We start from the raw sequence: 14,691 nt of genomic DNA on the forward strand, positions 1-14,691 counted from the left end.
AACACCATTTACCTGATTGAGGGGCACTCTAGCAGTGTTACAGGCAGGGGCAGGGGAGAAGGCTGAACTTGAAGGTGCAGAGAGGGCAGGGGCCTGCTAATCTCACAGCTGCTCCCCGCCCCCACTGCCCTGGGTCTGATGCTTCACGTGGGAATAAAACGGGGCAGGCTGCCCCACCAGGATGAAGGATGTCTGTGCGGAGAGGCCAGGCTTCCCCAGCTCCTGCCTTCCAGTTGACTGTGGACAGCTTGTGCGGAGGTTACTTCTAAGGAGCCTGCTCTTTCTATACCCATCTTGGGTCCTTCACCCCTGCCAGGAAGACAATCATGCTGTCCTCACCTTAAAAATGAGGGGATGTGAGGTGATCTCTTTTTTTCATTTTTATTTTTTGAGACAGGGTCTCGCTCCGTTACCCAGGCTGAAGTGCAGTGGTGGGATCACAAGGCTCACTGCAGCCTCGACCTCCTGGGCTCAAGCCTCAACCTCCTGAGTAGCTGGAACTAGAGGCATGCACCACCACACCTGCCTGATTTTGTTATTTTTTGTAGATACAGGGTCTCACTATATTGCCCAGGGTAGGTGATCTCTTAAGGATCTTTTGGGCTTTAAAATTCCACCTCTTGGATGGCCTGTGCCGTTTCTGGAAGGCACCGAGCAAACACATAAGTCCTGCAGAGCAGGAATGACACAGCCCTCTGGGCATGTGGGTAGACTGGCAGCAGTGTTGCTGGTGGTAGAGGGTGTACAGAAATTGGTGGTATCTCCTTAAGACCCTTGAATGGCTGCAAACTCAAAAAAGGTTCCTAGCTGGAAAACTGTCTGAAATTGGTGGAGTAAACTCCGAGCATATAACAATGCTCAGATTATACCATAATAAATGAATGTATTCTATTTTCAAAAGCTTTGAGGGTCATGGGGAGGTTGCAATGGTGTTACTGATGATATGCACAAGAAAACTACTCTATACCCAAGACAGATTCCCTGGCTGGTTACCAAAATGCCTCCCCCCTTTTTTTGCTTTTTGTCTGCCTTTTCTCTCTCTCTCTCTCTCTCTTTTTTTTTTTTTTTTTTTTTTTTTTTTTTAGCTTCACTTAGAAAAAAAACCTGCTAGGCCTGGAGATGCTGGTTTGCTCGGAGCCCTCTCTGGCCAGGCTGCCTGGTGTGGTGTTTTTTTTTTGGGTCTGTCAGAGTCAGGCCTGTGCCTGGTCCCACACCAGCGCCTCATGTCGACCTGGAGCTGAGCAGGCTGTTGGCTGAGGGTAGGAGCTGGCTGCCAAATGTGAAAGTGAGGCAGAAACAAGCAAAAGACCCGACGAAACAAGACAACCCACAAAATGCAAAAACAATGTGCGGCAAAAAAATCCCCAGACAACTTCAGATGGGGTTACAGGCTGGAAGCCACGGCCGTGCTTCTGCTATGGCGAGGAGCCCTCGGCCTCCAGCCACTGTGCCCACGCCTACCGGTTTTCTGGGGATGTTGCCACCACCTCTGAAGAGTGAAACCAAGCTTTCCATGCAGGAAGAGCCAGGTGCTGGGGGCTCCCGCCCGAACTGTGAGGCCCACAGTGCTTAGGGAGAGCACCAGGCTCTACCTTTCTTTCTTGACAGTGGGTGAGCAGCGCAGGCAGAGATGTGCAAGGTACAATGCCTGCTTTATCCGAATGCTTTGGGCTTGAGGGATTTTTCAGACATAATTTTAAAAAGAGTTACAGATGAAAGATAGAGAAACTAGAACTACAGACAAATACAGAGTAGACAATAAAAATTACCCACAATTCCTTGGGTGCTTAAAAATCAAGCTTAACCCGAGGACAGTTTCTCTGTCACAGGGTGGCTGTCACTGTATTTTACTTTCTCTGGCCACCATCAGGGAGTGCCCATGATGTAAGAAGAAGTTATGAAGTTTATAGCTTCTCCTGGTCTTTTGGAGAAAGTAAAAACTGCCACGTTTAGTTCTACAGCAGATCGATCCAAAGCAAACATTACCCACATAGGGGCCTCTAACAAATAACCATCATCCTGTGTGCCTCTTCTGGCACCCCAAGTGTCTGCTCAGACAACCAAGGAGTAGACCCACAAGAGACCGCCCCAGCACCCTATCGGCACTGCCAGCCCTACTGTTCCTGTTTGGGAATTCCAACCTGATTATGGGGGATCGACAGTTGTAAACTCAACTGCAGAATTAACCTGGAAACTCCCGAGGCCAAAGGACAGAGGCTGTGTGTCCCTGTGCAGCACAGCTGTTGGCGGGGCTGTCCCTCACATGCCTTGAGGCACCATGAGATCCCTGTGTGTTGTCCAGCTTCCCAGCAGTGAAGCTTCTATGGAAGCCAGGGCTAGTTCAACCTGTTTGTATGATACAGATACACAGAATCACCTGCTCACAAGACCCTCGGAATCTACAGAGTAGGTCGGTGCAGAGCACCCTGCCTCCTGGGTTGCTAGGGTAACTCCCGCTAAGCACTGAACTGAGTGAGGGACTTCATCTGCCCGGGGAAGAAGAGACCTGGTTTTCCCTTGCATTTTTAGGTGGGGTTCCTGTTTGCAGGTAAACTCTGCATCCCCCTTAAAATGAAACAGACCTGCTTAATGATAACAGCACATCACTCCTTCGTTATGGCTGCGACTCCCTTTCAGTCTAATCATGAGTCAGACCCTGACGACACTGACACATACCTGAAAGTCTCCTGTAAGGCTTGTTGCTGTTTTTGGTGCCATTTTGGTGTTTCTTGTCTATGGTGGTTGGCAGAATTCCTTTGCCATTTAAGATCTTCTCTGGTGAAGGTGGCACTGACTTGGACATCAGGACAGGCTTAATTAAAGGAGGGGTGGAGACGGCAGAGGACGAGGTGGAGGAGGCAGAAACTGCAGTAGTGGTTGTGGAGTTCATTTTGACATTGGCACCATCTGCCTTCACTAGGTTAGGAATTTTCTCTAAACTGACTACAGGAACTGGAACACTGAAAAATAAATGAACAAACACACACAATTGTCTTCTTTGATACATCTAGTCTGCTGAGGAACCATACCCGCTTATCATTATCAGAACATTTCCTTATCACTTATTTATACTCCTTCTATAAGCAAGCAGCATGAGTCCAGTTTTGATGGGAGAGAGTTCTGTGCCCTGGAAAGGATCAACAGGGGGTGCGAGGCTGGCACAGTGTCAGGGGTGGCATCAGGGCTGACTGATTACCGCCCGTGCTGAGCTGTCCCCATAGATCCTGCAACTCCCCACTTCCCGGGCCCTATAGGTTGGCCATTTCCAACACAGCACCTTGGGCAGAACAAGGCGCCTGTTGTGAAGCTCAGGAAGAGATACCGTTTGTCCCCTGAAGACAATGTGCCACTGCTGAATCACGCCCCCTCCCCCCGCTGCTCAGCTAGTCCCCCAGCCCGGCCCGGATCGGGCCTGACATCTGCTTAGCTCCGGAGTGCTGACAGGATCACACCACAAGGAGGCATGGCTTCAGGCCAGCGTGCTGCACGGCGTGCTGTCGGACGGCTTCTGGATCACTCTCACATCCTGGGGATGGGCTCAAATTGAGTGAGCCGCCATGTAGCATTATCCAATATTCCATTTTAGGCAGCTAGTTATGTAAATAGGCAATTCTCAAGGCTGGCAGGTGAAAGGATGAATTTTAAGAAGGCAGAGCACAAAGGTGTGCTTCACTCTTCAGAATCTGTCACCTTAGCCCCCTTCCCTGCTATTTCTCCTGTATGGGATGTGCATTTGATTTCTCTTCTTCTTTAATGCTGAAGGACCTGCGTCTGGGGGGCTGTGGAGAACTCCATCTCTGGGTCTTAAAAGATGAGATGAATAAGCTTTGCTTTGGTCCCTGAGCTAGATTCCCTTTCCTCCTGGCAGGAGGGAAGAATGCTAACATGGGCTCCCCAGTCATCTCTGAGCTGAGAGTGAAGCCTACTTAGCTATTTGAATGCCAAATGATCTAGAATATGGCTTTTACATTCCTGCAGACAATGTAGGGCAGGAAAGAGGGGCTGTTTTTGGCAGGAAAAGAATCTTATCTGTCCACATGGCTGGCTGGCTGGCTCTCCTTTCTCTAAGATTCATTCACAGATTATTTCTTTGATCAACTTGTTCATGAAATTATTTTAGCCCCCTCTCAGCCCCTGCCCCTTTTATGACTCTGAAATAGGATCCCAGCTGTTTGTTACAGATCTTTGCCAGCGAGAAGGGCACAGAGCAGCGGAACAGATTGTGGCTGGACATTACCGACTTCTCCCTTGGACCACGTAGCTTCTTGGCCTGGGGAAGGGTGACCTGGGGCTTCAAGTCCCATGTGAGGGGAAACTAGAATGACAGTTTTTTGTAACAAACCCTGCCACTGCCAATTCCGTCCCTGATCAGAGTGTCTCAATGTCTGAGATAGAGCTGAACTGCTGCTCCTTTCTATTTAATGGCAATTCTCAAAGCACTCCCATATCACTGAAGAATGGCACAAGAAACCCTTTGAGAGTGAGCACACCAAGATGCTAGACAGGTATTACCTGGTGAAATTAGTGCTGCATTCCTGATTTTTCCCAAATGATAAAAAGATGCAAAGCAATGTGATACAGAATTCTTCTAGGCTTATTCCTTGACACATTTAAAAAGCCACAAGTTAAGAAATCAGGGTCCTGAAGAGAGATCTGTACACCCATGTTCATAGCAGCGTTATTCACAATAGCCAAAGGTGGAGGCAGCCCAAGTGTCCATCAATGGATGAATGGATAAGCAAAATGTAGCATCATTCAGCTTTAAAAAGGAAGGAAATTCTGACACGGGCAGGAGCCTTGAAGACATTATGTTAAGTGAAATAAGCCTGTCACAAAAGACAAATACTGTATAATTCCACTTATATGAGGTACCTGGAGTAGTCAAATTCATAGAGACAGAAAGCAGAGCAGTGGTTGCCAGGGGATGGGGAAGGGAGAATGGGCAGTTTTTTTTAATGCCCGTTGAACAACTGTATAGAGTTTCAGTTTTGCAAGATGGAAAAAAAAGTTCTGGAGATTGGTTGCACAACAGTGTGAATGTACTTAATACTACTGAAATGTACATTAAAAACGGTTAATATGGTAAATTTTATGTTATGCTTATTTTACCACAATTAAAAATGTTTTACATGTACAAACTAAAAAAAAATGCAAATTACAAAACTCTTACAACCTAAATTATACTTCAATAAACCTGACTTTAAAAATACAGATCAGAGGCTGGGCTCAGTGGCTCACACCTGTAATCCCAGCACTTTGGGAGGCTGAGGCGGGTGGATCACCTGAGGTCAGGAGTTCAAGAGCAGCCTGGCCAACATGGTGAAACCCCGTCTCTACTAAAAATACAGAAATTGGCCACACGTGGTGGCTCACGCCTGTAATCCCAGCACTTTGGGAGGCCGAGGCAGGTGGATCACCAGGTCAGGAGATCAAGACCATCCTGGCTAACATGGTGAAACCCTGTCTCTGCTAAAAATCCAAAAAAAAAAAAAAAAAGAAAAATTAGCCAGGCGTGGCAGCGGGCGCCTGTAGTCCCAGCTACTCCAGAGGCTGAGGCAGGAGAATGGCGTGAACCCAGGAGGCAGAGCTTACAGTGAGCCGAGATAGTGCCACTGCACTCCAGCCTGGGAGACAGAGTGAGACGCCACCACAAACAAACAAACAAACAAACAAACAAACAAACAAACAAACAGAAATTAGCCAGGGGTGGTGGTGCATGCCTGTAATCCCAGCTACTCAGGAGGCTAAGGTGGGAGAATCACTTGAACCCAGGAGGCAGAGGTTGCAGTGCACTGAGATCATGCCACTGTACTCCCACCCGGGCGACAGAGCGAGTCTCTGTCTCAAAAAAAAAAAAAAAGTGTCAGTGGCCAGTTGTGGTGGCTCATGCCTATAATCCTAGCTCTTTGGGAGGCTGAGGTGGGAGGATTGCTTGAGCCTAGGAGTTTGAGACCAGCCCGGGCAACATAGCGAGACCATTCTCTACAAAATAGAAATAAAAATTAGCCAGGCATGGTGGCATGTGCCTGTAGTCCTAGTTACTTGGGAGGCTGCAGGTGGATCGCTTGAGCTCAAGAGTTTGAGGTTACAGTGAGCTAGGATCATGCTATTGCACAGAGCAAGACCCTGTCTCAACTCCCCCCTGACCCCACTGGCACCCCCCAAACCCAAACATATTGGCCAGGTATGGTGGCTCATGTCTGTAGTCCTAGGATTTTGGGGGGCCAGGGTGAGAGGATTGCTTGAGGCCAGGTGTTTTTTTGTTTTGTTTTGTTTTTGAGACAGTGTCTCTGTCACCCAGGTTGGAGTGCAGTGGCACAATCTCGGCTCACTGCAACCTCGGCCTCTTGGGTTCAAGTGATTCTCCTGTCTCAGCCTCCCAAGTAACTGGGATTATAGGCACCCGCCACCACACTTGGCTAATTTTTGTACTTTTAGTAGAGATGGGGTTTCACCATGTTGGCCAGGCTGGTCTCAAACTCGTGACCTCAGGTGATCTGCCTGCCTCAGCCTCTAAAAGTGCTGGGATTACAGGCATGAGCCACTGCTCCCAGCCGAGGCCAGGTATTTGAGACCAGCCTGGACAACACCGTGAGACCATGTCTCTACAAAAAAAAAAAAAAAAATTATAAATAAGCTGGGCACGTTGGTGGACACACACAGTACCAGCTACATGAGAGGCTGAGGTAGGAGAGTCACTTGAACCCAGGAGTTTGGGGCTGCAGAGAGCTAGGATTGTGCCACTGTACTCCAGCTTGGGTGACACAGTGAGACCCTGTCTTGGAAAAAAAAAAAATTAGAAGAATCTGTTCTGTTCAAAAAGATTTATTGATTTAATTTCTCACCCTTGTTCTGATCTGTTGACTTTTATTTCTTTAGGGAAAAAAATCAAACTTCAAGTGTTGATATGAACACATGGACAGCTAGCAAGAAGAGAAGGTGCTCTAGTACCTGGGCAGCCTTCTCTGATGTATTAATATTTCTTTGTGAAGCCAAGTTAGTTCAGGAAAGGAAATTAGAACTTGCAAGTTCCAGATCTAGTTCTTGTTGCATGAGCTGGTACGAGTTAACATAACGCCTCTAGTTTCTGTGAAAAATGCCCTATGTAGATGTTAGGTCCTCAGGCCTTCAGCAGACAAAGATATGATGCCTGGGATAGAATAATCCAGAGCAATTGTACAAATGGAAATACATTTAAAAAACCGGCTGGGTACGGTGACTCACGCCAGTAATCCCAGCACTTTGGGAGGCTGAGGCGAGTGGATCACCTGAGGTCAGGAGTTCAAGACCAGCCTGACCAACATGGTGATACCCCGTCTCTACTAAAAATACAAAATTAGCCGGGCGCGGTGGCACATGCCTGTAATCCCAGCTATTTGGGAGGCTGAGGCAGGAGAATCGCTTATACCTGGGAGACGGAGGTTGCAGTGAGCTGAGATGGCGCCATTGCACTCCAGCTTGGCAACAGAGCGAGACTCCGTCTCAAAAACAAACAAACAGCAAAAACAAGCCAAGCAGCCCTCAAATGCTCATAGCACAGTCTGCATTACTCCTCTAAAGTCAACGTCAGGCTCTGAATGTGCTCCTTAAGGCAGCCCCACGAGCACAGGTGCACCAGGTCCCAACATTTGGAACCGTGCCAGTTGACTCATCTCTTTGGTGACACTTCTTCCCAACTGTGTGTAACTGAGCTTGGGCCAGGCCAGCTAATGTCTGTGACTGTCTCCTAATTTGGAATTTTTTCTGCTTTATAATGAGTGTGGCCCAATCATACTCTACTGTCAATGATTCCAGAACTCAGCTGGATGCGAAATTGGAGCCCATCAGAAACAGGAAAGACAGCCTCACGTGCAGTCCTCTGGATTGAAGAATGGGAAGCATTGGGGAAAAAAGTCTGATCAAGAATGTTTCAAAGATTTCAAAGACCAGGTGAGTTGGTAAGGGGCTGGGCCACTGAGTGAACACCTCTGATGTGAGGTAAAAGGACTTGGCAGAAGGAGAGAAGGGAGACTGCGCTCTTTTGGGTGTGTTCTAAGGGTGTTCATTAGCTAATGGAGAAGGGCTTAGAAGAGTGAAGGAGAAGAACCTAGAGCTGTCCCTGATACTTTTTTCTTTGGTGTCCCTTCTCTCCCTCAAAAGCTTTGGGCTTTCTCTCTAAGGGAACCTGCCTTGGCCTGGACTGAGAAGACACAGAAGCAGGCAGCTGAGTGATGGTGGGAAAGGCATTTGACCTTGCCATCCTCTTCCCCAGTATACACGCTAGCCATCGGGCCAGCCTTTCTTTACTACAGCTGGCAACAGCCCCAAAGTCCTGAACTGAGAAAGCAAAGGAGGAAACGGTCACAGGATAGTGCCACAGAATCTGGAAAGCCAATCCCAGAGATGATGCTTTTTGAGCAAAAACATTCAGCTGACATAAGAGCCTATTAAGAGCCCCACCCCCCACCTCCCATACACACAGATCCCGCGTGTGCCTATGCTGCAGCCACAGTGCAGTCACAGGGAAGCCAGTGTCTCGGAATTGTCCTCTGCTTCCTCTCACTGGCCCCGTGTGCATCCCCCTCACTTCCTCTGCTGTCACCTTCCCCAGCCAGGAAAGTGTCCCAGCCTTGGGCACGCCCCTTCCAGATGGCTGTGGACCCTGAATGACAGGTTGGACTTTTTTTTCCATTTGGAAAGAATCCAAAAGGTTCTAACCCCTGCTTTCACAGTATGGGCATCTCCCATCTTCTTTGTGTCTAATCACAGTAACGCAAACACCTCCATGTGCAGGTGGTGAGACCTGGGAGGGGGTGGTGAGTTGGCAATAGCCTGATGGGTGACTCAGCAATTTATTACACTGTTTGCTTAGGTGACAAACAAGCCTGGCAGTTACCCCCGAGCTTAGCCAAAGCCCTTCAAAGTTCCTTTCCCTTCAGTCTAAAGGATGCATGTGCACACTTCCCAAAGTCGCACAATTAGTTGCATTTATCAACTCACGATTGTCCTTTCTTTGTGGAGCAGTGTTTGAAAGGGAAAGATGAGTCTCCACTCTTCCCCTGCTGCTTTCATAATGCCTGTTTTGTTCACTTGGGATGAACTCTTTCAGAGAGCTCAGGGCTGCAGCCTGTTCCCCTGCTGTGTCTAATATGCTGGGAGTAGTTCTCTCCTCATCATCTCTGTACCTCTGTCTCGGTCCTGGGAAAGAAACCCAATGCCGAGAACACCCTCCCTCATCCCCCTTGCTACGTGGGGGCGATATCTACCTCTGTTTCTTTTGTGCTGCTTTAGTTGCCCACGTCTTCTTCCTTTGTGCTTGGCCTGTCTGAATTTATCTTTCTAGATCAAGGCGGGTCCTCTGGCTTTAAGAAACATGGTTCTCTTGGCATCAAGTAGATTCCCCTCCCTGCCCAGTGATGTCTGCAAAAGAACAGAGGTGGAGACTCATGACGGTGCCATTGCAAGAGCCACCAATGTGCCGCAGGGCCAGCTGCCCACCTGCCAGCTACGCTTTCCTGGTGATCATGATCTATATTCTTTGATTATCAACAGAAATGCCTTAAGAGAATGGTTCTGAATGTCTCTAGGTCTGCAGAAATTATTGCCAGCCCTTCTTCACTTACCAGAGCACGGTAAAGATGAATTTGACAGGCAGGAGCCTGAAGACATATGGTATTTGTGCTGTGGGTTTTGTGTGTGATGAGAGTTCTCAGCTGTCTGATTTCCTCCACCAATTCCTTCGACAAAAGCCTATGTGCTTATGCTGCTGGCCTGGCAGAATTTTGAGAATCTCTGACTCACTGGCAGAGCCTTAGAAGGGCCATATCACCCAGCCTCTTGGCTTCCAAGCAGTGATAGCATTAAGTCATCCCCAATAAAAAGGAATTTACCCTCTTTTAAAATGCCCTTGGAGAAGGAATTCAATTTGGCTCTCTTGGATGTATTTTGGCAGCTACTATGAGGAAATTATTTATATCCAATCTAAATTCTTTAAGTTGAAGAAGTACTTGGGAGATTCTAGAAGTCTGAGGGGCAGGCAATCACTAAGAATCAGGGTAAATAACAGAGACACAAAGTCCTACTACCGTGGTATGACAGATACAGTTGATACTGCATAAATCCTGACAAGTGAATAAATGGTATTTTTGCGGTGTGTCTGGAAAAATATTGGGAAAACTTTCAGAAAGCCTGTCTGTAAACACCTTTAGCAAACAGAAAACAGGTATTCAACCACAGAGCATGGTAAATAAGAATATCTGCCAGATAAATCTAACATTATTCTGTGGCTGAGTGTCAGGCCTGGTGGTTAGAGAGGAAGCATAGTGTCTAATCTCTCCTGGCCTTTGCACAGTTTTGGATTCTCTCCCACATAACACACCTTCAGTAAACTGGGGAAATGTGGTCAGACCACACAGTTACCAGGTGAGTGGTCCTGGCAGCAGAGACAAAAGAAAAATGGGTTAGCAGGGCTCAATTTCAGCCTAGAGTGATACCATGCAGAGCTCGACAGGGACCCACTGCCGGCCAAGAAGGTCATAGTGTCTTCATCAGTGACTTGGATGATGGGCCAAGACTTTGCTCCTCAATTGGGTTAAGAGATGATTAGCTGCTGAGAACAATGATGTGAGATTTCCTCCTGAGTCAGTTAGGTGGGAGGAAAAATGAACAAGCTGACTTGGAAGAATTGTAAAAATGGCCAGAAGCAAATCAAATAAAATCAGGGAGAACAAGTATGACTGAATTGAAGGTCTGTGCCTTGTCAATATTCTGGCAAATTTATAGAATGTGGAGTGTTGGAAGATAGTTTATAAGGCTTAGATAAGGCTTAGAAATATAGGCTTTCAAATCAGACCAACCTAGACTCAAATCCTGCCTTTTCTGTTGCTGGATGCATTACGGTATCACAGCCTTCTGGCTACCCGGTTTCAGAGCCTCAGTGAGCTTATCAGGACTCTAAGAATGAGAAAGAGGACACCTGGCCTGGCAAGGAGTGAGTGCTGGTTTCAGTCCTGCCTTGGTGGGGTGGTCTCATGCAGTGCAAAGCCCACACAAACATATGTGGCTGCCCTGCCTAACTTATCTCAGGCCTTCCTGGCTCCATGCCTCAGTTTCCTTATCAGTCAAATGAAGATAATAAGAGATATTTGAAGTGATTAAATGAGGTAGTAGATACCAAGTGCTTAGCATAGTGCCAGGCACATAGCAGACTCTCAATAAACTCTAACTAAACCAAAAGGGCACAGAGGATCCCAGCATCTGCTCTCATCCACCGATACTTGAAAGGTATATATGTGGGGTGCAAATCATGGTCACCATCAGAAAACTTCTGCTTCCTTAGTCCCTTCTGGTCCCACCGTGGAAGGAGGGGTGGACAGGGTGGAGGCAGAAGCACCAGCAGAGGGTGGGAGCAGCAGCCTTCCACATTCATGCAGAGTAGAGGACTCCTTCTGGGTGAGGCAGTGAGGAAGAAAAGCAGAACGAGGTGGGGCCAGATTCAATGGCCCTTTTCCAGGACCTGTCAGCCCTACTTCACAAGCCCACCTGCTTCTCCATCTCTAGTATTCTAGGCACTGCTTAAGCCTGGACTAGTGGTTAAAGGTCCCATCTGTATAGGACATTCTGGAAGAGGAGTAAGGAGGAACTCCAGCCTCCTCATGCACAAACATGTTGTCTCCTGCAATCCTGAAGTATGTTAGGCATTGGGGCTCTCTGCTGGTTCTAAGATGCCTCCCAGAGAAATAACTCTATAAGCCCCCCTCTAGGCTGCTCCAATTTTCTGGAAGCAGGAGGCCCCAGCGCATGTCTCCCTGCTGGTCTGTTAGTCTCTCTTGTACTTCTGTTATTCATGGCTTCCCAGGGCATGGAGCTCAGAAGGTGGTCTCCAAACCTGCTGGGAGAATAAGGAGTGCTAAGTGTCCTGACATTCCTGGGGAGTCCTAGTGCCCTAGGACTGTGAACAAGTCAGCAAGTCAGAGAAGAGGAGAAGATAAAAAAGGAAAAATCGAGCCCTCATGCAGTAGGGCATAGGATGCTGCACAGGCTGCCTTTGGGACCAGCTGTGTCTGCAGCAGTGTAGCCTTGGGCAGGGAGTCCAGGAGCGTTTTAAGGATAACCCTAGACCTAATCAACTGCACCTGCTCAGTGCCTTTCCTCTGCAAATGAGAACGAAGAGCCACACAATTCCAATGAATGGCCATTGAAATTCACATCAATAAGGAAATGGTATCAGAGCCTGGGAGGGCAGGAATTGAGAACGTAGAGATTAGGAGGCAATTTGATTCTGCAGGGAGCGCTGGTGCAGGGTGAGGCAGAGCCCCAAGCACCCTGTCCCCAGCACTGGCCCAGAACAGGCTCCGCTCAGGAGCAACAAGCGGGAGCACTCCCCTCGGCAGCCACCAGAGGTCATTGGTTCCTGCTGTTCGAGCTGTAGGCTGCTCTGCAGTGCCTTCCAGCCAGTACAGCCCAGACAGTTACTGTTTCCCAACAGTCCTGGAGGAAACCCTGACCCAAGGGGAGACAGGGCAACTCCTTACAGAACACCCTCCATCCCCCTGCCAGGAAGGCTGGGAGCTGGCACCTTGAGCAGAGACCCTGGGCTCCCATCCTAAGCCTTTGGCCTTCAAGAAGCTTTTTCTGAGCACGCTGAAAGATGAGGAAATGGCAAAGCATCCCAGGCTACTTATCAGTGCTCCAGCTTCTGGCCAGGTACCCTGACACCTGCTGCTCCCAGTTTCCTGCCAGAGGAAAAGCCCTCAGGAGCACCTTCCCTCCCCCAGGCATCACTCACTCACTCTGCTTTTTCCTTTTTTGTATTAGAATCCGGTTCTGGGCAGGCAGCCTTGCACCTGAACCACCTCCATCCAGAAAACAAAGCACATTTTCTTTTTAAACCCTCAAGGGTTTATTCTGAATGGCATTTTTGCCATATTAAAAAAAAAAGTTTATCTTCACACTGACCTACAGCAAACTCAGGATATTCTTTGTTCCAAATTAAATAGACTTTTTCTTTTTTAATCTCTATGTTAGCAATATCAGGCCGGGCATGGTGGCTCATCCCAGCACTTTGGGAGGCTGAGGTGGGTGGATCACTTGAGGTCAGGAGTTGGAGACCAGGCTGTCCAACATCATGAAACCCCGTCTCTACTAAAAATACAAAAATTAGCCAGGCGTGGTGGTGTATGCCGGTAATCCCAGCTACTTGGGAGGCTGAGGCAGGAGAATTGCTTGAACCCAGGGGATGGAGGCTACAGTGAGCCGAGATCGTGTCACAGCACTCCAGCCTAGAAGCCAGGGAGAGACTCTGTCTCAAACAAACAAAAACAACAACAACCAAAAAACTCTATGTTAACAATATCAGCATCCAGTTAGAAACCAGCTCTTCCCTGAAATTCAGTCACTCACAAGTCAGTCTGACCAAAGTCCACCTCTTAAACAGCTGTTAAAAGGTCCAGGCCTCAGCATCGCTTGCAACCTTTCTGGCTTGGCCTCTCTGTGTGTTCTAATCTGTTTGCACTCAGCCACCAACGCAAATCTGACCATGAAAGTCTTTGTGGGCTGCCCAAGGCCCAGAGGTCCAAGTGTAACCTTCACAGCCTGGCCCACCCCACCCCTCCTGCCCCAGCCACCTTCTCCTGTAGCCTCGCTGGACTTCTCACTTCTCCTTGAACACCAGTGCTCCGGCCTGGCTCTGTGCCTTTCTGTGGGCCGGGCTCTCCTGCTGGTGTGCCCTCCCCCATTCTCCAGGTGAACACTCCCCCATCTGTCCAGATCCGGAGGAAACATCCTCTTCTCTCCCAGTGCCTGCTGTTCCTTCCTAGGTGTTTCTGCTGCACTCATCATGTCCTATGGCAAGGTTTTATTTCTACATCTATGTGTCCTGACCAGACTGTGAGCTGCCTGATGATGGGAACCCTGTCCCAGTATACATGTCGCTCTGGAATTATCCCAGCAGCCTATACATTATCTAGCATTTAGGAAGGGCTCGATAAATGTTTGATGAATGAATTAATGTTCTCAGTGGAAGTTAAATCACATAACACAATAAAAACCAAACTGGCACCCCACCAATGCTTGGTAAGAACAAATGCTTTAGGTGGGGATCAGGCTGTGCTGCCTCTCCTCTTCTGAGAAGAGATTGTGCAATGACAAAGGTGAAGTGTCCGCTCATAGCGGCACATGCTGCACACCTACCATGCATGAGCAGTGAGTTATGCACTCACGTGCAATACCGTGTTTAATCTCTATCCCCAATTTCATAGATGTGGAGCCTGAGGCTGAGAAAGGCTTGCCCCAGGTCATTCCACAAAATGAAGGGCAGAGAGAGCTTGACGTCAGGCAACACCGAGGGTGGTGCTCTTTACTGTAGCACTGGAAGCCAGAAGGCCAGGGGTCAAGTCTCAGCTCCTCTGCTGTCCCACTGTGTATGTAATCTCAGCCCATCGCTTCATCTCTTTGGGCTCTGTTTTCTTATCTTCACCACAAAATAGTCTTTAGGCTCAAATAGGATTGGGCTATCAAAACATCTAAAAATCATAATGAGCTATGCAGCTATGAAGGACCATGGTTACTAATCTCTGTGGCTCATCCCTCTTCTTTCCTTCAGGCCATTTTTTTTTTTTGAGACGGAGTCTTGCTCTGTTGCCCAGGTTGGAGTGCAGTGGCACAATCTCAGCTCACTGTAACCTCTGTCTCCCAGGTTCAGGAGATTCTTGT

The 14,691-nt window shown here is 48.2% G+C and overlaps 1 protein-coding gene across 4 annotated transcripts in view, besides 4 other annotated features; it reads right to left on the bottom strand.

Moving 5' to 3' along the window:
• The window catches only part of ATXN7L1 (ataxin 7 like 1), a 271,828-nt gene that overhangs the window by 35,390 nt on the left and 221,747 nt on the right, over nt 1-14,691 (bottom strand). For 3 of the 4 annotated variants that reach the window (NM_020725.2, NM_001385596.1, NM_138495.2), the window contains one exon: nt 2,677-2,960. In NM_020725.2, the coding sequence (NP_065776.1) occupies nt 2,677-2,960 (284 nt within the window). Of the gene's footprint in view, nt 1-2,676; nt 2,961-9,245; nt 9,400-14,691 lie in introns of all 4 variants that reach the window. The other variant, NM_001318229.2, reaches the window with a different exon arrangement.
• Nucleotides 863-1,830: an enhancer, noted in NCBI's record as "H3K27ac-H3K4me1 hESC enhancer chr7:105281471-105282438 (GRCh37/hg19 assembly coordinates)". NCBI's record gives its function as "activates a minimal SCP1, AML or CMV promoter by ChIP-STARR-seq in naive H9 embryonic stem cells {active_cell/tissue: H9 hESC(naive)}" and the evidence as "EXISTENCE:reporter gene assay evidence [ECO:0000049][PMID:30033119]".
• Nucleotides 7,794-8,010: a silencer, noted in NCBI's record as "fragment chr7:105288402-105288618 (GRCh37/hg19 assembly coordinates)". NCBI's record gives its function as "represses an EF-1alpha promoter that drives an FKBP-Casp9 reporter gene in an ReSE screen in phorbol 12-myristate 13-acetate-treated (for megakaryocytic differentiation) K562 erythroleukemia cells {active_cell/tissue: K562(+PMA)}" and the evidence as "EXISTENCE:reporter gene assay evidence [ECO:0000049][PMID:32094911]".
• Nucleotides 8,021-9,220: an enhancer, noted in NCBI's record as "MED14-independent group 3 enhancer chr7:105288629-105289828 (GRCh37/hg19 assembly coordinates)". NCBI's record gives its function as "activates an origin of replication core promoter dependent on BRD2, BRD4, P300/CBP and CDK7 cofactors, and independent of MED14, by STARR-seq in HCT116 cells {active_cell/tissue: HCT116}" and the evidence as "EXISTENCE:reporter gene assay evidence [ECO:0000049][PMID:35650434]".
• Nucleotides 12,519-13,242: an enhancer, noted in NCBI's record as "H3K27ac-H3K4me1 hESC enhancer chr7:105293127-105293850 (GRCh37/hg19 assembly coordinates)". NCBI's record gives its function as "activates a minimal SCP1, AML or CMV promoter by ChIP-STARR-seq in primed H9 embryonic stem cells {active_cell/tissue: H9 hESC(primed)}" and the evidence as "EXISTENCE:reporter gene assay evidence [ECO:0000049][PMID:30033119]".

This window comes from Homo sapiens, chromosome 7 (genome assembly GCF_000001405.40).
Source record: "Homo sapiens chromosome 7, GRCh38.p14 Primary Assembly".
NCBI classification, from domain to species: Eukaryota; Metazoa; Chordata; class Mammalia; order Primates; family Hominidae; genus Homo; species Homo sapiens.